This window comes from Homo sapiens, chromosome 12, assembly GCF_000001405.40.
Source record: "Homo sapiens chromosome 12, GRCh38.p14 Primary Assembly".
Lineage (NCBI taxonomy): Eukaryota > Metazoa > Chordata > Mammalia > Primates > Hominidae > Homo > Homo sapiens.
The window spans coordinates 58,880,565-58,903,766 of NC_000012.12; the positions used below are offsets into that span (position 1 = coordinate 58,880,565).

General features: G+C 38.1%; 1 protein-coding gene across 3 annotated transcripts in view, besides 1 other annotated feature; it reads right to left on the reverse strand.

Moving 5' to 3' along the window:
- LRIG3 (leucine rich repeats and immunoglobulin like domains 3) overlaps positions 1-23,202 on the reverse strand; it is a 48,350-nt gene that overhangs the window by 8,410 nt on the left and 16,738 nt on the right. For all 3 annotated transcript variants that reach the window (NM_153377.5, NM_001136051.3, XM_017018790.3), the window contains exons 4-13: positions 10,101-10,232; positions 9,432-9,575; positions 8,255-8,398; positions 7,765-7,908; positions 7,225-7,368; positions 6,246-6,326; positions 5,267-5,338; positions 2,956-3,027; positions 2,305-2,468; positions 17-337 (exon numbers count right to left, since the gene is read on the reverse strand). In NM_153377.5, the coding sequence (NP_700356.2) occupies positions 17-337; positions 2,305-2,468; positions 2,956-3,027; positions 5,267-5,338; positions 6,246-6,326; positions 7,225-7,368; positions 7,765-7,908; positions 8,255-8,398; positions 9,432-9,575; positions 10,101-10,232 (1,418 nt within the window). The remainder of the gene's footprint in view (positions 1-16; positions 338-2,304; positions 2,469-2,955; positions 3,028-5,266; positions 5,339-6,245; positions 6,327-7,224; positions 7,369-7,764; positions 7,909-8,254; positions 8,399-9,431; positions 9,576-10,100; positions 10,233-23,202) is intronic.
- Positions 6,983-8,182: an enhancer, noted in NCBI's record as "BRD4-independent group 4 enhancer chr12:59281329-59282528 (GRCh37/hg19 assembly coordinates)". NCBI's record gives its function as "activates an origin of replication core promoter dependent on BRD2, P300/CBP, MED14 and CDK7 cofactors, and independent of BRD4, by STARR-seq in HCT116 cells {active_cell/tissue: HCT116}" and the evidence as "EXISTENCE:reporter gene assay evidence [ECO:0000049][PMID:35650434]".

The window sequence follows — 23,202 nt, forward strand, 5'->3', positions numbered from 1 at the left end:
AAGTCAGATCACATACTATTTACTGTAAGCTTGGCTTTGACAGAGTAGGATGAACCAAAGTGATTGGAGATGACACACTGATATTTCCCCTCACTGGCAAATTCCACCTCGCGCAGCCGAAGGATGGTGGTATACTCCATCACCTCGCCACCTTGGGCCCGGAGGTGTGCATAATTTTCCATTTCAGCATCATGCAGTAGTTCATTGTCTTTTTTCCAAGCAAAAGTCATTGGGGAATCACTGCTGCTGGCAGCTGAGCAGATGAAACTCAAATTGGAACCTTTTATTGCCGACTGTGTTTCTGGCTGAACCGTGATCTGGGGTTTGGGAAAATCATCTGTTAAAAATGGAGAGGAGGAGACAAAACAATGTTAAGGCTCAAGAGTCCAAATACTACTCAAATTTGAACACCAAGAAATGCAAAAACAGTGGCTTAGGTTTTACCCTTTGTGTATGTTTTCCAGATGGACTAGCCGTCCCCATGTTGAAATGATACACTGGGAGAGTATTTATAAAGTAACTCATTCATCTCGAATACAGATGCAGATCTATTTATCAATCACTATTACCTGAGAAAAGACTGTTATTTTGGAGCTATCGGAAAACCCACACTTTATTCCTGATCCCTTATGCTTTCTATAAGTAGAAGAAGAAAGCAGTTTAAAAACTTCCAGGCTCAGGGATCATTTTTGAATGCTACTATCAGAAACTGCAATTGTTCCCATGTTCTCCCCAGATAATGAGCAGCAAAATTAGGAAATCAAACATCAATCATGATTAATCAACAAAGACAGCCATTAACACTTCATTTACCAAAACAGAACCACTATTTAAAAACAGTAATTTAGGTAGAGGCAAAAAAAAAAAAAAAAAAAGCTGATAGCAAAAGAAAAAGCATCTGTAAAACAAACTGTAAGACACTGGCTTCAGCCTGGAGCTTTGAGCGGCCAATCGTGCCGCCGCGCTGCCCTGTCAAAGCTACATTATAATTAGAGCTAAGCAACTCTTTCATTCTAACAGTTATTTTTAGTTCTCTGTTACATTTTGGAAAAGTTACCTTTTTGAACTTCAGTTTCTCAGCCATGATCTAAACCCAGAAGGAAACATCTGAGATCTACCAAAGCGTACCATTTGGGTGCTACTATTTGAAAAGACAACTTTTTATGTGTATTGAATGGGTTATAGGGGATGCTTTGATAACTCCAGGGCTGCTATTTTTCAATGTCTGCATATTGTAATCGAGGTGTTTTCTGTACTATTCTGAAATTCTCATCTAATAAATCGATGTTCAGATTCACAAGGAAGTGAAAAAAACGATGGATACTATACATGTGTTTCAACGTAATAGGGGGATCAGATCTTGGGACTAAAAAACTATGAAACAAGGACCATGGGAAAGGAGCAGTTCAGGCCCTTACAGATGAATGCCAAAAGCTTATTCAGTTCCAAAAGCTACATCAGAGGTTTTATTTCCAGAAACTACTGGCACTGCTTAATGCTGCAACCTAAAAATATATATCGTGGACAAAGCAGTTTTAAGTAAATTTTTAAATGCCAATGCAAAAGAAGGTTCTTAATATTTTAACACCCATGCTTAAATAAAAGCAAATTCTGATTTATTGGTTTATAAAACATATTTATTTTTACAGAGGTCTCCATGGCAGCTAATAGTAAATGGCAGCATCATGTAATAGACAGAAAGTTACACCAGAGATGAAAACTTTTCTTTTAAATCCAGATCTGCTACTAACTAGCTATGTAAAGTTCAGGTAACTAGATTTCTAATGCTGAGATTCTTGGATGCTAAAACAATGGACCTTAAAATTATTTATAATAAATTCACATTTCCTATTACTTGTAAATGTTTTACCGACCAATAGTTAATTTTTTAGCACCCCATAAATCATTAATAATTTTCTCTTTCATGTAAACCTCCCAACAAGCCTCAGAGTTGGGAAGAGAAGAAAGGAGAGTCCCCATTTCATGGATGCAGAGACTAATATTTAGGGAATTTAAGTTAAGTAGAAGGGCTGAGATTACCCTTCCATTCTCCCAAGATCCAATTTCATTCTCATTCCACCGCACCATCCTGATGCCAAAACAAAGATGAAGCAATTTTAGAAAACTCTCTTTCCCATCTGTGAAATTAAAATAATCAGCAAACTATAGACCCATTTTCCTCTACCTCAGCAGAAATAAAAGCTTTATAAAGAGATCATAAATCTATTCAAAACCATTATTTGGATAAATGGGAGGGGGAAAAAAGAAGAATAAATAAAAGGCAAGGGCAATACTTATACTCACCACACACAAAGCCATCTGGGCTAACAGCAAAAATGCTTCTTCCTTTTAGCAGCTGAGGATGGGCACAACTGGCATTTACAAAGCTCTGAAAGTTGTTTTCCGCCACCCACTGTGGGAGCCATTTTAGCTGGCAATCGCACAAAAGGCTTGATGTATTTAAATGCCTGAGGAGAGTAATTACATTCAATTTGTTCTGTATGAAATGCAGATTTCTACAAGTAAACTAAACCCAAGTAAATATTAACAAAGCAATGAATTTGGAAACTGAATACACACATCCCATGGAATAAGTATCCCACAGTCCATTTTAAAATACAAGAAATGTATCTAGCATGATTTTCTGTTGTTCTTACTGTCCTACTGAGACAGAAGTGTTGATTTATCAAAAGTTCCTTACAACTGAAAAAATTACTACTATATTGGGTGACTGTACTATATTTGGTCCCACAAAGTTGCGAATTTAAAATAGAAAGAAAAACTCATTTCAACAAAAAGAACAAATAAACTCCTTTTCTGTTGCCTAGTATAAAAATTAAGTAATGTTAAGAATGTGCCAGGCACTTTTTATAGATACATAATCCAGGATGCCACACCATATGACAGTTTTCCCCTCTATACTTTCAGACTCCTAGAAGGAAAAGAAAAGCTTACAATTGTTGCAGTTTCTTCATTTGTGAAAATGCATTGCCTTGTAAAGACATGATTGCGTTGTCACTCAGGTCTCTGAAAAATCACCAAATCAAATGCATCAGAGCAAACTACCATCATTTCGTGCTTTTGGACAAAGTTTGGGCCCCCACTGCCCACCCCATTTGCCAAACAAATACTCCCTCTATGTGTCAAATACATGACTGGGGCAGCCCCAGAAGAATCCACTGCAAAGCTTGTGCTGAAGACCCAGGGCATTTGTATCACAGATAGGTTTTGTTTTAGTGAAAAAGATTCACTTTCTGTCATCACTTAAAGATTATTTGACTCATTAGGGCCCATGCTGTTCTATTATTTCATTCTATTACTCTTTATTCAAATTAGCAACTATTGGAAACTTCTAAATATACAAATAAAATATACAAATAAAAAATAAAAATAATTATGCTTTTATAAAACATTTACACAGTATTTTTGAAGATATGCACTCAGTTAAGTGATTTACAAGTGTTACTGCATTTATTCCTACAACAACCCAAAATATGATGGTATTACTACTTAGCTCAGCACGAAAGGGGAAGGTAAGGGTTGAAACAATTATTTTCAATTCCAAAACCTGTGCTTTTAACCATTAACCTAATTCTGTCACCCACAGCTCACTAACATAAACGCAGTAAGATGTTCAGACAAGATATACTTGTTAAAACCAATACTTCAGGCAGGAAATTCATAAAATGAGCACATATTCTGGATTAATTCTCTTTATACAGAGACTTATAAGCACTCTGCATTAAAGTATTCACCACAATGATTACCACTCTGTTTTTCTTTACAGGGGTCACAGTATACAAAGGGAATATTGAGTGAGACAAGTGGGAAGAGAAGACAAAGAAAGAAGGGACCAGACATGGCTAGACGAAGAGGCTGGGGCAATCAAGGAAGATTTAAGAAAACTGAAGCAGAGATTAATACTCCACTGATCCACTAATTCCACGTTCCCAGAAACGGAATGGGCCAAATGACAAACCCTTTTGGCTAGTTTTCTTTTCAAAATAATCGGTTTCAATAAATACTGCAATGTTGGTCTGCCCTTCCAAAACTCAGCTTTGCAGAATCATTCTACTATAATTTGAACTGCCGCACTCACTGTCTGGGTGGCTCACGATCCAAGTCTCCCTCAGAGGAACTGGTGCAGTCAGAAGGTGACAACACAGTGGTTTACAGATAACAGCTAAATCTTCACTCTCAATACACAGCACACATAGGAGAACCCAATATGTATTTTAAATTGTAACTTCTTTTGTCCTGGTTAATACATATTAAAACTTCTGGATACAAGCATTCCTTAACAGTCAGAGTCGATATTATACATTACTTTGTACTTTTACTGTACAAGCGTAAAACATACATCCATGGTTATAAGCAGCTGGTTGGTTCCCTTAGTTAAAACATGCAAGTTTTGATTCCTATCAATGTTAGCTAGCTTTCCTCTCTTAGTGGCTGAAAATTCCTGAGCCCCTAAATGACATTTCAGAAATGTGTGCCAGGAGTTACTAGGAGCTACTGGGAGTAGCGGCAGAGATTGTACAGGCAAGAGCTAGTGTGATGCAGGGACACTGTGCAAGTCGGGGCAGCTCTGGGTTGCGTCCTGCTTCTGACAGCTACTAACTGGTGGGTCAAGACGAAACAAAAGAAAACAACAAAAAAGAGAACAATGGTAAGGGGGGGTTGTATGTTTCATAATTAAACAACAATAAGAGACCAACAATTCTCAAAGTAGTGCTAAAACTCTCCTATGTCACTCTTAAGGATTGTGGAACATTGTCTTTGTTCTTTAAAAGCCAAGTCATCTCCTTTAACTGTCCAGTGGAATCAATAAACTCTTAGAACCTCCGCTTAACAATAAAGATAATAATAGCTATTGAATTGTATTCTGACTAAGAATTAAATGAGAATATATGTGAATATGTGGTACAATGCCTGATATATAGTGGATGAACTACACCTAGTAGTTTGTTTTTTTTTTAATTAAATAATCACTGTTTGAGAAAAACAATTAAAAACCCATTAAGGAGATATAGCTTTTGTTCTTAAATACAAAGGAAAGCATACACCTGTATACTTCTATATAGGTAGGTAGGTAAGTAGGTAGACAGAGAAAGAAATAGAAAGATAGGGAGATGTTTAAATATATTTTATGGAACCGGAAGGATGCCAACAAAATTACATTCCAGTTTGTTTTATCTTTCATGACACATAAGTAAAAACCATCTTAGAGATTCTCTTTTAGGGTAACTAAATTCTAGCTACTCACAGATGCTCCAATGCATCCAAACCAGTGAAGGCTTTTTTAGTAATAGAACGGATCCGATTTCCTTGGAGTATCCTGGGGAAAAAAATTACATTGGAGCACTTAATTTAAAAAGCCATTTTGGGGTGGAACTCTCATAAACAGAACTGCTTTTTAAATTATGTGTGAGCAATTCCATTTTCTTCAATTAAACAATATATCCTGTAAAAATGTGTCCATGCCATCTATTTCAATAATGTAGTCGAACATGGTTTTTGAAGCATTCAACAAAGAGCCCAACAAAAATAGGTATTCAGTAAGTCACTCTGCTGATTAAGTTAAATCACTGTTTTTCAGAGTCCTTTTAGGAATAGGTAGAGACTTTATTTCAAGTAAACTGTCTCAGAACACTAACAAAGCAGATAATAGTGAACGTTTTCTCCTTCCTCTCCTTCTCTGTGGATACCTTCCATCCATAGGAGTTTGGGACTATAGGGAGCTGAATTTGAATACTGCTGGCTTAACACATGTAATTTGACCATCTGCAAGACCATTTTATGGTTAATTATAAGATGTTTTCATCCTGTTTTGCTTGTAACCTACCACAGCATTATCAGTGGCTACTAGATTACTTCATTAAAAAAATTCCTACGGGGACAGTACAACATTGAGGATTTCAAGATGTGGAAGTGCCTGCACTAACTTTTACGCAATGATAATTCCAAAAGTGTAAGCCCTCAACATAGATGAAAATTATTATGAGGATATTAAAGTAAATTACACATACTAAAATGTTGAATAAAACACTTTCACCTAAGGAAGAAAAAGTTAATAATATACATCTTGCGCAACAGCAGGCATTTGGGGAGAGGATCAAGGGTGGTAACCAGATTAAGCACTGATTTCTCATCTCTTCATGATGTCAACTTGTATAGCTGACTTCAGTGAAGACAAAATTTTTAAATCAAAGAGTGAGCTAAATTATGAGGCAATTCATACTCACAGTCGCCTCAGTTTGTCAAGCCCAGAGAAAGCACCATTCATGTCTTCAATAGTCCAGGAAATTTCATTGTTCTTCAGATCCCTAATTTTAAAAGAAGCATTCCCTTTAGAGTGATAAGCTCAGAAAGCCTAGTATCACCACCCAGGTGGCATATCATTTGTAAAAAATTTCTCATAATTCCCCACATTATCTCCACCTCTCTCAAAATAATAGAAAACTCTTTTTCTCCAACTTACCTCTTACACCCTGCCTGATTCCCTCAACAACATTTTAAGTTTTTCCCTAAAATCCGAAAAAGCTGACACTGGCCCTATTAATTCCTCTATCAAAATGACTACATTCTGAATGATCCGAACAGTCTGAAAAATACATTAAACTTTAAAACCACTCTTCCAACCACGCATGCAGAAGTTCGCCAAAGCATACAGTATGTCTTTCAATTACGTAATGCTTCAAATAGCGAACAGAGCAAAAGTTTCTGACAGAGCAAAAATCAAAAGCCCATTGCACAACCTTAAATTACCATTTGAGAAATTTTTCAAAGGTCAATTAATTTAACTCCCTTTTCTTTCTCTTAGGACAGAGATCAGGTTGAGGATATAACTGGCATGATAAACAGTATCTTCCTTGCCCTTTGTAGACCTTTTTGCTCTAAGTAATTTTTAATCTGTATTTTACAAAGAAAAACTTAGTGGACTTAAAATTGTTTCCCTCTTAAGCAGTTACCAATTTCCTGGAGATCCTGAGAAGGTTCACTGTAATCACCAAAACAAACTGATCACTGTCCTTTTTAATCCCTATACGAAACACATATGGATGAAATGGATCCATTGTAATCAAACTGATCTGGGAAAGATTAAGATACTACTTCTGAGGCTGTATGCATTTCCTTGACAACAAAGGAAATCTGCTAGGAGAAAAGTGGGCATATTTAGGAACCAATTACGTTCGAGTACTGACAGCAAAACGTGTAACTTACAAAGTCTTTAAACTGGAAAGCCCCCGGAAGGCACAATCAGCAATGTAGCTGACTCTGTTGTTCCCAATGTGCAGTGTATTTAGTAAGCTTAGGCCAAGGAAGCTTGAATCATCTAACCTTGATAAGTGATTGAAAGTTAGGTCCCTGTAAAGAAAAAAGAGAAAAGCAATAGCTTTTATTTTTCAATTCAACACAATGATTTGTTTTCCAAAAGACAGGTACTGTATGAGCTACACTAATCCTTATTTTTAAATTCTGCCTTAATAATATCCAAGTAAATATTTCTAATATCAGTAATTAAAAAAATACGTTCTCTTTACTTGAAAATAACCATCATTGCTTTTGCCAACGTGACATAGAACTGCAACAGTAGAACTGGCTTCAACTTATCACAACAAAAATAAGACTAGGTTGCATGTGAAAAAAGCTGTCACCTTGGAAACTTTGTTATGAAAATTTCACAGATCAGTGGTAAGAAGCTCATGCCCTGGCATGATCCCTGCTCTCAAACCTGAGGAGAATAAATAAAAGGCAACTCACAGCTCACTGAGCTTCTGGCAGAACTCCCAGGCATCAGGGCTGATCCTGTTGATGGCATTTTGGCTGAGATGAAGTTCCTGCAGCATCAGCAAGCCGTAAAGCCAGCCTTTGGTAATCTCTGTTAGGTTGTTATGGTCCAGCTGCCTACATTTACAGTAAGAATCAAAAGCAGGATCAAAACTTCATTATCTAGTCTCTTCAAAGGGGACATATGATTACAACCTATTACAGATTCCTATTGTTATTAGATGTTTAGCTTTTGTTATATGAAGACGTCAGCAAAAAAATACTATATAGTTTATACTATACTAAATTTAGGTACTTATAAATTATCGATCACATTACCTGAATCAAAACTGAATACTGACTTATAAATAAGATTGTGGATGATGAGATTTTAACATAGGATTTCACATAAGACCTGCTGAATGTACACTGAGCATTCTATGATCATACTACCTCAGTAGGAACTGTGATAACCCACACTTACAAAATTTCCATGTTGCTCAGCCCCCAAAAAGCTCCATCCATAAGTTTCGTTACTCCATTTCTTTGCATTTTCAGAGACTTCAGAGCACCAAGGCCTTGGAATGTCAGTCCATCTACATTTTTAATCTTGTTTCGGTTCAATTCGCTGCATTGAGTATTACAAGAGTTAGCTTATATGACAATTAAATTCTGGAGGTAGTAATAAAATGTGTCATTACTACAATATAGTTCAACCAGTCAGTGTTCAATTACATACAGTGTTTTCAGTTTCTAAACATTTTTATTGCAAAGAATTTCAATTTGTTAAGCAGGCAGTGAATTTCCTACTGAAATGTGTCATGTGTTTTTGGAATAATAAAATACTGAAACTAGACTGCACTTTAATTTCTAAAGTCTTGTCCACTCAGTATAGACACAAACAAATTAAGATTTGTTTTTAAACAATCCAGAATGAGATTATTAAATGTTACACTAAAACATGAGGTCTATCAAGGAGCTGGGCCTCAAGTTTATCCTGTACAATCTGTTTACAAGTTGGTTACTATCTTTCACCCTTCTTTTTAGGTTTAATGCTTTCTCTTTAAGGCAGTAGTTCTCAGCCTTGGTTGCACACTGGACGCAACCTGGGAGTTTTAAAAATTTCTGAAGCCTGGATCTTACCCTTAGAGGTCCTAATATAATTGGTCTAAGGTGTGGCCTGGGCAGTGAGATTTTTTAAAAGCTCCCCAAGTGTTTGTAATGTGCAGCCAAAGTTGCCCTATTGCAGGAGTCTGTTCACAGATCGCTCTACCATTATTAACAAGACAGATCTTTACAGCCACTTAAGCTATCAGAGCCTCCTGGAGTTGCCGGTATTATTCTCATAAACCACAGCTGTTGAGACCTCGGATTTTTTCAGTGCCACAATGGCACTTTTGTACCAGCCTTGTTCAATGATTACACTGTTCACTCTTTCAGTAACAATCTAACGTGTCTTGTCAAGCAGCAGCTGGCACGAGGTGACGAGATGATGTTTAAGGCTCTTTCCAATTTGGAGATTCTACAGCTCCAACTCTCAAAGGAAAGGCAGCTACATCCTTGCTCCTAAACTCCTTTTTGCCACATTGTAGATTTTAAGGAAAAGACACCAAGGGTTTGGAGGAGGTGAGAAACAGTATCTAAGAGGACATTTTACTTACAGATGTTGCAGTTGGGGCAGTTTAAACATCTTGGGTGGGATAGCTGAGATTCGGTTCCTGTTCAGCTTTAACACAAGGAGTGTGTTGGCCAAATTGTCAAAATACCCAGGTTCCATTGATGTGACTCGGTTGCTGTTGAGATACCTGTTGAAAGTTTAAAGATGAGCTTCTCCTTCTGATTTATTTGCAAGTTAAAGTGCAGGCCATCTCTGTATTAGAAGGAGTCTCCAGAGAACTTAACCATCAATGGAAACTTAAAATAATTACTTTTTAGGTCCTCAAGGACAGATGTTAAGATTCACACATATTGCTGGGAAAAGAGTGATTAAAATATGTGACGGATGCAAAATTTTTTTATAAATATCCACTTTTTATGACATTCATTTATTAATAAAACATAGCAATGGTCTGATTTTGATTGTTTTTTTAAAAATGAGCACTTTTCACACCATCTAGGTTTTCTAATAAAAAATATGTAATTTTTTGTAATCTAAAAGTGTAAGAATAAACTGAAGATTGTGGTCATTCGAGCTTACAGCAAATTTCAAGTCAATAAATTATACTTTCAATCCATCAGTAGTAAAGTAGACAAAGTTTGTTATATCTTATTTTTTCATTGTAATATTTTCATTACAGGTGAAAGTTTTTGCTAAAGAAAACTTCACTTACAGATATTTGAGCTGTAGGGCTGGAAATGCAGTTTGGAGCTCTGAAATATTGTTGCTGCTAAGGTCCAAAGTTTCAAGGGACTGAAACTCTTTCAGATGTTCAGGGAGTATTTCAACAATCCTGTTTCCAGCCCTAGAATTAAAAGAAACCACAGTTAACAAGGTTAACGGTACAACAATCTGAAAGAAGAAAAATATTTTCTATTCCTGACTGGTTCTTCAGAAATATGGAACTGACTAATCTGAACAGTACTTTTAAAAGTTAAAGAGCAATACCATGGCCATTTTAAGTTATTCATTAAATTATAAATCATAATATTCAAATATGTGGAAAACATTCCTATATAAATCTGGGGTTCTGTTTAGCAGCTGTGGCTGTCTAAATGCTATGCACTTAAAGACAGTGGTTTGATTTTTCTTTATCCTATTTTTCTTTTTTTTTAAAAATTTTTATTTATTGTTATTTTTTAGAGACAGGGTCTCACTCTGTCACCCAGGCTACAGCGCAGTGGCACACTCATAACTCACTGCAGCTCAAACTCCTGGGCTCAAGGAATATTCCCACCTCAGCTTCCAAGTAGCTAGGGCTACAGGTAAGTGCCACCTCATCTCGCTAATTTTTTTATACAGTCGGGGGGTCTCACTATGTTCTCTAGGCTGGTCTCAACTCCTGGCCTCAAGCAATCCTCCAGCCTCAGCCTCCCAAAGTGCTAGGATTACAGGTGTGAGCCACCACACCTGGCTATTTTTCTTAACAGCTCTGCTCCCTTCTCCTTATTAAATGGTATACGAAATGCCTAACACCAAGGTGGCATACCAGGCACTCATGAGTTAATTCCCTATTCCTTCTTCTTGATTCCTAATCTATTTCCAATTCTTCTCTTGAAAAGTGCCCATATTACAGGTGCCAATGAATTTAAAATACTTGTCAGATTGGGGATCTCTCTAGAACCATGCTAGAGAGATCCCCTTTTCTTTAAGAAATAGCAAGTTTCAAGGCACTGCCATAGTCTTCAACACCAATGAATATGCTCCAGCCCTTTCAATAGTACAAAAGTATTACATAAGAAGAACACTCCAGTTTGAATAATCCCTTGGCATAATTAGATCCAAACATGTTTTACATTAAAAGTCTTAAACATCAGACCATGACGTCCAGTATGGCAGCCACTAGCCACATGAGGCTCTTTAAATTTAAATTAATTCAAATTAAATGCTAAAATTTAGCTACTTAGTCACAGTAGCCACATTTCAAGTGCTCAATAGCCATCCACTCCTGGTAGCTATCAAATGGTACAGCACACATACAGAATGCTTCTACCATTGTGTAAAGTTCTACTGGTGACTGTTATACTGAACAAATGGAAAGAAACAAACAGAAAAAAAAAAAAGAAGTCATTTCAAAGTTCTTCAAAAGTCATCAATCAATATAGTAACTCCCAAGGGAAAATGCAGCATTAAATGACAATTTTGTTAGAAAATGGCAATCAAACGGATGTGCAAGCCATCATAATTGTCATATTAGATCAGGCAGTTTGGTCTTTTTTAGACCATCTTTTGGCAGGAGAAAATAACGTCAAGGTAGAAAGGATACCTACAAATCATAGAAAGGTCTCCTCTTTACAACGCGAGAAACAATGAAACAATCTGAATGCTCTAAACAGAATTCTGTGTCTTACATAAGTCACACACTGGTGTTTGTACACGGTCTGCAGTTAATCTTCGATTAAAAAGAAAACTTACAAAATATATCTTGTGTATTTTTTGCACCCAAAACTGGATTTCTACAGTGTTCTGAGCTCTTCTGCATTATTGTAACTCATCAGTCTCTCACTATCACAGTAGGTTCCCAAGTGAGGTGTACCTCTTACATATTTTCACAAAATCTTGTGCTGCAAGCTGACGTCAAACTTACACCACTGGTCTTCTCTGCCATACTGAGATATTCTTAGAAGCAGAATTCTCTCTATATATCACCCTTAGAATGTGTATAAAATCTAACAATATTGAAGATCGATTAAGTGCCAAGCCCTATGCTAAACACTTTTCATATATTATGCCCTTTAATCATAATAAAATTTCTCTGGTACAGACATTACAAAACATCTTAAAATTAGGGCTTTTCACCTAACAAGTTCAAGCATTCCCGAGCCAGCTCAAAGAACAAGTCTGATTGTTCCTAAAGCAATCCCTTAAGGCTTCTTTCACAGAATACAGAGTATGAAAGATATTCTGGCATTTAATTTCTTATGCAGATATGTACCTCCCTTGAAAAGGCCGCTACTTCCCACCTTGCAAAAATGCTGAACTTCTGGTTTTAAACTGATCTGGGAATCTACCCTGGCTCATTGAGCCATCATCATGCCAACATTAAGAATGCCCCAGAACAGAGGCCCTCCCAATCTGTGCTTGCCCACTTTGCAGGTGAGAGGAGGCCCCAGGGCTTGTGTGTATTTACCATCTACCAGAGTCAGATGGCCGACTTTCTGTCAGGTGCCACCTTCTTCACAAGAGAATAATAAGGGGACAAAACGGGCATACATTTTAAATTTAAAGAACAAATTAAGAAAGCTTCTCGAAATAGTGTTAAAACTCTTCTGAACAGTATTTTTAAGGACTGTGGGTGGATTGTCTTTTTCCAACTTTAAAATCCAAGTCATCAGAAAATCTAATGTCAGGTAACTAGCATAGATAATGTATATCTTAAGAGCTGAACTTTATGATAATAGTAAAGTTTTAAAAAAGAGACGATTCAGCAGTCCCATGTACAAGTCACAAATGAGTATCAAGCCCTTCAGATTCTCATAAAGTCTTAGAGGCTTTTGTTTAGAGTCAAGTCAGCCATGACCTCTGATTTTGACCATTTCCCACATCTGGATTTGCCTGTGTATAAAGTCCTTGATCTAGCTGTGAGGTATAGGGTAATGCAAGTGAGACAATTAGTCAATTCCTAGGTCCCGGAGATGGATTCCATCCAGGAGACACGCCACAAGGCCTTAGGGTCAGGGTGTGTGGGTTAAATAAAACCACACTGCTCTAGGGGACAGAAGTTTTCTCTTAAATGCATAATCCAAATGTTTGCATTACTAGGATGTCCTCCTACAAACACTGGAGTCACTCTGAAGTGCCCGAGTGCCCCTCTCTCTATCCCCTCCCCTATCCCTAGCCCTATCTCCCTTCAAACTTTGCATCTGGTTTTGGTCCCCAGGCTGTCTGAGGCAAGTATAGCTACGCTTGTATTTAACAACAACAAAAACAAAACACTCAGCTATGGATGTGTGCAATAAACAAAGCAAATTAGTTGGGGGTGGGGAGGCAGGGAGGCCCACAGGTGTCTATCACGTTGGTCAAATAAGGCTACCAGTTAGATAACAGACCATACAGTCTTTGGTTTATATATCCGTTTGTTTATAAGGTAATTATGAACAAGGTATTAAAACTGCCAATTACTTGAGTGACGAATAAAATTTTCCTTGCAGTAAAAGTATGCTCCAGCCAAAGCCAGCAATTTCCTGAACTGCACACCTCCTAAATCGCAGTGTGAAAGTGCTCAGTTCTAGACGGAGCGTGCACAGTGCTGTCTTTGTCAGCACTGCTTCCTAGCACAAAAATCCCTTACAACTGTGAGAATAATAGTCCTTGTATCACAAAAATTTAAATCTGTCCTAATGGAACTGAATTAAATCCAAATACTCGTTTCTTATTAGCTCTCAGACTAACTGGCAAGTACCCACCTGATATACACCATACCAGTTTAACACAAAACAAACAAACAAAAAACTTGCTTTGTATAATAAAGGGGGCTAAAAATGGGAGACAACTACCTTAAAAAAGCTAGATTAAAAAATCTTTTTTATCATCTAGAATCCTAAAAAAAAAAACATATTTTATGGAGTTGGTCAAAAATACCCACTTCTAGTAGACAGAGATTCAACTCAACCCCACCTTTCATTTTTCTCCAAATAGGAATAAATGCCAAACTTGATCAACACATTAAAAAGCGCTGTAGTTAATTAATATTTTTGGCAGGAAATGTGCAACGCTTGAACAAAAACAAAACTCTGAATACCTTTTTCCATTACTTAATGTGGAAACACCATCTTTCCATTGTTCAAAAATCACAAAATAAACTGTAAATACTGGAAGGTGTTTCAGTCTTGTACAAATCCATCTTAGAGACTAGGAATATTTTGGTCTTCTATGTTTGTTGATAGTACAGGGAGTTCCATGGTTAACTAATTTCTGAAGTGAAGTATAATTAGTCCCTGTGGACACACAGACCTGGGGACTTGGGTTGGTCAGGAACACCAGATGGTTCCCTCAGGCTTCTAAGAGACCACTGGAAAAACAGGAGAACCACGTATTTTGGCCTCAGCTTCTCGGGTCCAGTGATAATGGTTTCATTTTGTTGCCTATTTCACTTTTCAGCCAACTTTGCCAAATACCTTTAAAATGCAGACGCAAACATGGCTTACCATTTTCATCTGATGATATTTACTCTGAGAGCACTGGAGTTCTACATGAGCAAGATGGACATGCCCCTTGACCTCACAGAGCTTAAAGTCTAGTGGGGAGGATAGCAGGCAACAGGGAGCTGTCCAGTGTGGTAAGTGCAGCGACAGGAAAGGAGGAGTGGGCAGTGGAAGTACTGTGGACAGACTTCTAGAATGTTGGAGGTCAGCAAAACTTCCCAAAGGAAGGGAAGAAACGGCCACACTGAGATCTGTGGGATGAGTTAGCTCAGCAAAGGACAGTAGAGGCTAGTGCTCTAAGCCGAGGCAAAGATTTGGGCAAGTGAGAGCAGAGCAAAGCTTCCCTTAGAGGAAATGAAGGAACACCTGATGGCTAAGTACAGAGTGCACGGGTGGAGAGTGGAGAAAGAAGAGGCTCAAGAGTGAGGCCGCCGGGAGATGACAGCAGTCAAGTTGGGCCCTGGAAACCACATCAGACATTTGACCTTTATCTCAAGATCAACTGTGGGGAGGGGGCCAGAGGATGTCAAATGGTGGGGTGACAATATCACATGTACATTTTAGAATGGCTACTCTGATGGCTGTGGGTGGAAAGACTGGGAGGAAGAGGGCATGACCAGGCGCAAGGGCACCAATCGGAGGCTCCTAACTTCATGCAGGACAGACGACAGAAGGATGACGAGCGACCTTGATGCCCACTTGGGGGGCGAAACATCACACTTCCTCTGGTTTCCAGGGCACACACTGTGCTTTTCTCCTTCCCTGACATACAGGATCAGCTCTTCCAGCTCTGCAGCCTCTGGCCACAGGGACCCAGTTCAGCTCTACTGGAGTTCTCATTCACTATCCATTACCATTGCATTTGGTGCTTCTGATATGGGAGGTTTTCTAAGACACAGAGTGCAGACTAGGGTCCCCCTGTGCTCAGGTGTGAGATGCTACTGCCCAGAACAGCCCAATACTGGCATTTTAATGCCTCTGTAATCACTAAGAAAATGGATAAGTGCATTATTCTCACATATAAGAACTGTGCTAGTTTGTTCGGATACTCTTAACACCTGCCTTGAATCTAAATCTGGACCAAATTAACAACAGTAAAATATAACTTATGAGGTTAGTGATATGACCACTTAGTGTGATGACTGGTTCTACTTCTTGATTCACTGTAATCTCCAGAAAGCATAAGTGTCTCAAAAGAACCTTCATGCTCTCTTAAGTGGATATAAATGGTGTTAGTTTAATTCCAGGGTCTGAAAGGAGAACCACAGAGTGGAATATTCTTTGTTAGTGAGGAACCAGAATATCAGGTTTTCTCACACTGGAATTCCTAAACCAACAAAAGTGTAGCTTCCTGTTGAATAATGTATATCTGTCAATAGTTTTAGCTGTCTCCTACCTAGTACACGGATAACAGGCAGCTTAAGACCTTGCAGCTGTGATGTGTAAGGACATGCAATCTAGGCAATTTAGAGAAGGTATCTGCATGCAGCATTTGCCTTTTAGAGGATGTGTGCACTGAAATTTAATGTGAAGCCATTTTTTATGTTTGCAATACCGTCTTTCCTTAGAATGCATCACTCTAACCACATCCCCTAAGTCCAATTCAGTGATTGCAACTAACAAATTGCTGAATCTGTGGTCATTCCATACAAACAACCATCGAGCAAGCAGATTAAATGTATGGACTGGTACAGTCAAGCCTGGCCCCAAGGAAATACTAATTTCTATATATAACTTGCAAACAACCAGCTTAGCACCATTTATAAAGGAATTACAAACTGTTAAAGAAAACACTACATTCTGCAAACACATTAAAGGTCACTTATATTTCCAACAATAACCCCCACTCCCTCCGAAAAGCTTCCTTGAAAACTATCTTGACTGGAATAACTAACACCCCATAATATCAGGCAACTTTTAACAGAAGTTTGGCAAGCAAAGAACTCCTCTCATATAGATAAAAAATAAACTGCTCATCTCTTTTCTAAAAAGATAATTAAGAGGTTTCATTAAAAGAACACATGTTTAGACTGGTCCATTGGTACTGCAGCATCAAAGAATAAAGCCAACTGAGGAAACTTGTGTAAGGAGACAGATTCTTGATGAAGAATTAAGGACACTAACCAGCAAACGAGTGTTGGTGTAAGAAGCAAAGAATCAGTTCTTTCAGCAAAAAGTCAGGTCAACATAAAATATAATTATCCTTTGGATCACAAACATAATAAAGATGGCCATGTATTAATATTTTAATATAGAGGTCCTGCAATAATCAGTGTCTTATTCATGCACCAGTCATAACACATGTTAAAAATGAAAAAAGAAATATGAGCCAAGCTCCACGGTGCATGCAAGTAATTCCAGCTATTTGGAAGGCTGAGGTGGGAGGATTACTTAAGGCCAGGAGTTCAAATCCAGCCTGAGCAACATTGCAAGACCCTGTCTCTTAACACAACAACAACAAAAAATCAATAAAAGAAAAATAAGTCAAAAGCCCCATTCACACCACATACAAAACAGCCCTTCTTTGATCTCCAAGTATAAATTCAATCTAGTCCTTCATGTAAATGGAAATTTGAAAAGCAAATCCTAGAAGACAACAGGATAAAGAAAACATTGAAAAAATATTTAATCTGAAGTAATTTATGTACAATAAAAATGGACTCTACTTTGATTTAGTAAACTTAAAAATTTTTACTGTTTCTTTTTTGGGGCAGAGGCCTTCCACCGTCATTTTCACATATCGGACCATTGATCTGGTTTGAGTCTCCCCTACTAGGCTTGTGATTTACTTGTGAGTGGAGAGAACCTCTGATTTATCTTTGGTTCCCCAGAATTCGGGATAAAACGAATGGGTACAAGACCCCAGAGTGAACAAACTGGAGTGCAGACACTCAAGAGCAGCTGTAGATTGCACCATAAGGATTTAACTTAGCTATTGTTCAAAATGCATATGAACATCAGAAAACAAAATGTCCATTACTGCTGCCAGCCAGAAAGCGTAAACATAAAACTGTGATACTCTATATTAATCAACCTGCTGATAAGATCTGACACAGTAACTCAAACTACAGCTCCCCAGAGAGGAGATTTAGATTCTATTCCTGGTTCTGTGTCTTTATCTACTACGTTTTTGTGAACCTTAATTTTCTCACCTGTAAACAGAGGGAAATGAAATGAAATGATCTCTTCCAGCTCTAATGAGTTGTGACTCTAGATCTGGATGAGAAACACTGCAAATGACCAGATTTGTTGCAGAGAAGTCATACAACTGCATCATGTAAATACTGTAGCCTCTTGTAGAACCTACCCTCCCTCTTGGGGGTTTCTTTCACCTCTCTCCTCCTGGGAGCCCCATTACCTGGCTGTCTAGTCTTCCTCTTTCTTGGCTTGCTCCTTCATTTTCCTGGGGTCTATCTTTTGTTAGCTTTGCAAGAAACCATGTGTAAAAGCTGTCACTTCATGTTTGAAAATATCTTTACAGGACAATTTGGGTGTGTATAGTTTAGGTTATTAATCCTTTTCTCCCTTGTTTTTTTTTTCTTGAGACGGAGTCTGGCTCTGTTGCCACGGTGGAGTGCAGTGGCACGATCTCGGCTCACTGCAACCTCCGACTCCCTGGTTCAAGCAATTCTCCAGCCTCAGCCTCCCGAGTAGCTGGGATTACAGGCACATGCCACCACGCCCAGCTAATTTTTGTATTTTTAGTAGAGATGGAGTTTCACCATGTTGGCCAGGATGGTCTCGATCTCCTGACCTCATGATCCGCCTGCCTCAGCCTCCCAAAGTGCTGGGATTACAGGTGGGAGCCACCACGCCCAGCCTCTCTTAGGATTTTGAAGACACTGCTCATGGATAATGCCAGCTTGGGGAGCCAGAGGCCATTCTGACTCTCTGCACCAGTGTTTTGTAAACTTTAGCACACATCAGGATTGGTGGGCAGGGGCTTCTGGAAGACCAGATTGTTAAGCCCACACCTTCAGGGCTTCTTTTTCTCTGGGTGTGGGTGGGGACCAAGGAAGTTGCATTTCTACCAAGTTCCCAGGTGATGGTGATGTGCTAGGAGCACAGTCCTCATAGGACCATCTTTGCCTTGTTTTCATTGAGACGTAACTCAGTAGGTCCTTTCAATCTAGAAATGTATATTCCTCACTTCCAGGAAATTCAAAATTTTGTATCTTTCATAGTTTTCTCCTTTCCATTTCCACTGACGTCTCTTTGTGAAATTCCAATTAGATAAGTGTTAGCCTTTTTAGTTCATCTTCCGATTTTCTTATTTTTTCCTCCCATGACTTCCATACCTTTGTTTTTTGGTTCTTTTTTCTGAGTTTTTCAACTTTCTCCCAACATTTTTATTATGTTTTTAAAGTGTCTGGTACTGTATTTTTAACTTTTCTGAATATTCCTTTTACTGTTTTTTTCATCATGTTTTTCTGATTTTGTGGACATAGTACCCTTTCTTTTCTCTCCAAAGATATTAAATTTGTTTTGATGTTCCTTTCTCCTTCCATTTATCTCTGATTCTCATTTCTCATTTGTTTCAAACTCTGACTTCATTGTTAGAAACGTCTTCAAAAGTCTGATGATCACTGGCTACTCATTCATACTTAATAAAAAGCAGCACTAAAAGCCTTCTGAGGGCTGTGTGTGGTATGGGCTTGTTGAATGGTGAGTGCCAGCACAGGTGAAGGAGGGACCTATTTTAGGACAAAATGGCCACATGTCAGTTTCTGTGAATCTTCTCCCAAATTCTCCAATCTCCAGTCTGGTGAGTAGAGCTTGGATGCTACCATCTGGGAAGGCTAACAGGAAATAAACTGAGGGCTGGGGGTGTTGCCTTCAGTATTCATATTTGACTTAATTTTCCTGATTTCAGAAGATGTTGCCCCCCCTCAATCATTACCCCTGCACAGCTGGGCCTCTGTCCTGAATCCCAGGTACTTTCTATTTAAGGTCTCCCAAAATTAAATTTCCAGACCTCTGTGTCATGGGAAAGGTAGTTACTGGGCTGAGTTTTGGAGGGGAAACCTGGAGGTCTGATTACTTCTATCCTCCTATACAAAAGTTTTAATCAATCCTGTTTTCAGTCCTACTCTGCACTCCCATCTTTATAGGTTCTAAATTCCTAAGCCACTTTGAGGTTCTCAAGCACCTTTTTTTTTTTTTTGATCAACTTCACTATTTCTCTAAGTCAGTTACAATTTATCCATTTGCTTGCAAAATTTGTATGGCATCTTTCATTTGAACTGTATCTTCTCTTCATGTTCTCTATTTTCTCTTTGCTCCCGTTGGTATGCACTTTTTATTCTTTTACTTTTATTTTAAAGGGATTTTAGGAAGGAGCAGAGTGAAATAAATGCACTCAGTCCATCATGCTTAATAGCACGCCTTCTATAGAAATTCAATGAATGAAACCAGTTTTTCTCTAAACACTAAAATAAAACCATTAAGTTACTATAGTCTGTTTTACTGAAAAAAAATTCAGCTTAGATTTGTGTATTTTTTAAAATTAGCCTACATAAAGAATTTTCACTTCAGATGATAGTACAAACCAGAAAACACTGCATCAGTTATCATATAGACAGTTGATTCCATATAAACACATTCAGTTAAACTAATTTCATTTTATGTTCTGATATGGTACACAGACCAACGGACCAGAATGCAGACACAGAATAGCTTTATTTCACCAGAATATTTATCTTGTCCTTGTGAATAAGGCATAGAAAATGTGGTGACAATTATCACATAGGCAGGTGAGTTCACATCCTTTGTCTTTATTCACAGACTGGCATTAACCTTTAGGGAAGCAGCTGGTGGCAGCTACTGTGGCCCCGTGCTGTCGACATTTGTATGAACATAGAGACGTGAATGACCAAGTGCAAATGCCACAAAACTAAAAGTGTAATTCACATATTTGATGAATCGTGATCCAAAACCTCTCAATGTACTAAAATATGCTCAAAAAGCAAGATGAGAATTGAGCTGGGATAAGGCAGTGTTTTGGAATTTTAATCAAGCATTTTTACAAGGCCCATGTAAAAGCAATTCTTATGAAAAGTGACAACAAGCTTACTAATAACAGCTGACTACAAACTCAGTATGAGCCAATAATACAACATGGTACTTAAAATGCTAATATAATCTGAAACTTCATTAATGTCTGGTATTCTGGTTGAGAGATGACCCCACCATATTCTGTATAAGTCAGACCACATCTCAGTTACCTTGTTCTGGCCATTGTGTTTATACTGCCATGCCAGACAGGTGTGTGATGGAGCGGACTTTAAGGCTCTAGACTTGCATTTTCCAGTATAACAGCCATTAGTTATGAGTGGCTATTTAAATTTACACTGAAAATTCAATTCCTGGGTCACACTAGCCACATTTTAAGTGTTCAATATTCATGTGTCTAGTGGCTACCACCGGGTACAGCACAGATACAGAACATTTCCATCACTGCAGAAAGTGCCATTGGACAGCACTTGTCTATACCCCATGTCATACAAGAAATGGGAATGAGAATTTAACCCAGGAGAAGGGAATGCTTTAAGAAAATCTCATATTTTAAGACTCACAAGAATTATGCAGAAAAGAGAACTGCTCTCTCTAGCACACAGAACGACAACAGGTAGAAGCTGCTGAAGGGTAGACCTCTGCTTAACGTATAACAAGACCTAGCAATTAGAATTAGTCACTACGGAAAGGCTGCTCACCAAGAATGAGCTTTCGTTCTTAGAAGTGATTAAGGAGAGGGCAGTCAGACAACCACCCTTCCAGGGATTTCTCTACAGAGAAAAATATCTCTTCTGATTCCAAGTTGCTAGAATTATGCAACAACGCACTAAACTATCAACAAATGGGTTATAACCAGTTATATAATATAATATAGCAAGCTGTTCCTAACTCCTTTCACTTTTTCTTTGAAATTTACATGGCAACTGTACTGAGGAAATTAAGACAGGAAAGGCCAGAGGAGAATAAGAGAAAGAGAGATTTATACAATTAATTGACTACTTCCCTGAGTCTGTAAACATCCATTCATCTTTGAAGAGTACTGTCCTCTATCCTAGGTCGATACTTTGTGTGGGATCACAAAGCGATGTGACTCAATTCAAAAGCATCTTATTCTTAAAAAAAAAATGTAAAAAAAATGCTCATTTTGATTCTATATCATAATTTCTTATTTTAAAAATGGTTAAAATTGCTCATGCACACTAAAAATGACAGTCGGAGAATGTCTACTATGTTTATCCTACCCTGTATGGTACCTGCAGCATGAATGTTACCTTAATATTTCATTTTGCCTTCCACCTCACTCTAGAGACTGCTCTATCTGCTCAATAAAGCTATATGAGAGACAGGGAGATGGCAGGCAGGTGATTTTAAGTATTAGAAAGCAGGTGTTTATATTTATAATTGCCTTTTCTCTTTTTTTTATTTTTTCATTATTATAATACTTTAAGTTTTAGGGTACATGTGCACAATGTGCAGGCTACATATATATACATGTGCCATGCTGGTGTGCTGCACCCATTAACTCGTCATTTAGCATTAGTTATATCTCCTAATGCTATCCCTCCTCCCTCCCCCCACCCCACAACAGTCCCCAGAGTGTGATGTTCCCCTTCCTGTGTCCATGTGTTCTCATTGTTCAATTCCCATCTATGAGTGAGAACATGCAGTGTTTGGTTTTTCATCCTTGTGATAGTTTACTGAGAATGATGATTTCCAATTTCATCCATGTCCCTACAAAGGACATGAACTCATCCCTTTTTATGGCTGCATAGTATTCCATGGTGTATATGTGCCACATTTTCTTAATCCAGTCTATCATTGTTGGACACTTGGGTTGGTTCCAAGTCTTTGCTTTTGTGAATAGTGCCGCAATAAACATTATGTGTGCATGTGTCTTTATAGCAGCATGATTTATAGTCCTTTGGGTATATACCCAGTAATGGGATGGCTGGGTCAAATGGTATTTCTAGTTCTAGATCCCTGAGGAATGGCCACACTGACTTCCACTAGAGTTGAACTAGTTTACAGTCCCACCAACAGTGTAAAAGTGTTCCTATTTCTCCACATCCTCTCCAGCACCTGTTGTTTCCTGACCTTTTAATGATCGCCATTCTAACTGGTGTGAGATGGTATCTCATTGTGGTTTTGATTTGCATTTCTCTGATGGCCAGTGATGATGAGCATTTTTTCATGTCTTTTGGCTGCATAAATGTCTTCTTTTGAGAAGTGTCTGTTCATATCCTTTGCCCACTTTTTGATGGGGTTGTTTTTTTCTTGTAAATTTGTTTGAGTTCATTGTGGATTCTGGATATTAGCCCTTTGTCAGATGAGTAGGTTGCAAAAATTTTCTCCCATTTTGCAGGTTGCCTGTTCACTCTGATGGTAGTTTCTTTTGCTGTGCAGAAGCTCTTTAGTTTAATTAGATCCCATTTGTCAATTTTGTCTTTTGTTGCCATTGCTTTTGGTGTTTTGGACATGAAGTCCTTGCCCATGCCTATGTCCTGAATGGTAATGCCTAGGTTTTCTTCTAGGGTTTTTATGGTTTTAGGTCTAATGTTTAAGTCTTTAATCCATCTTGAATTAATTTTTGTATAAGGTGTAAGGAAGGGATCCAGT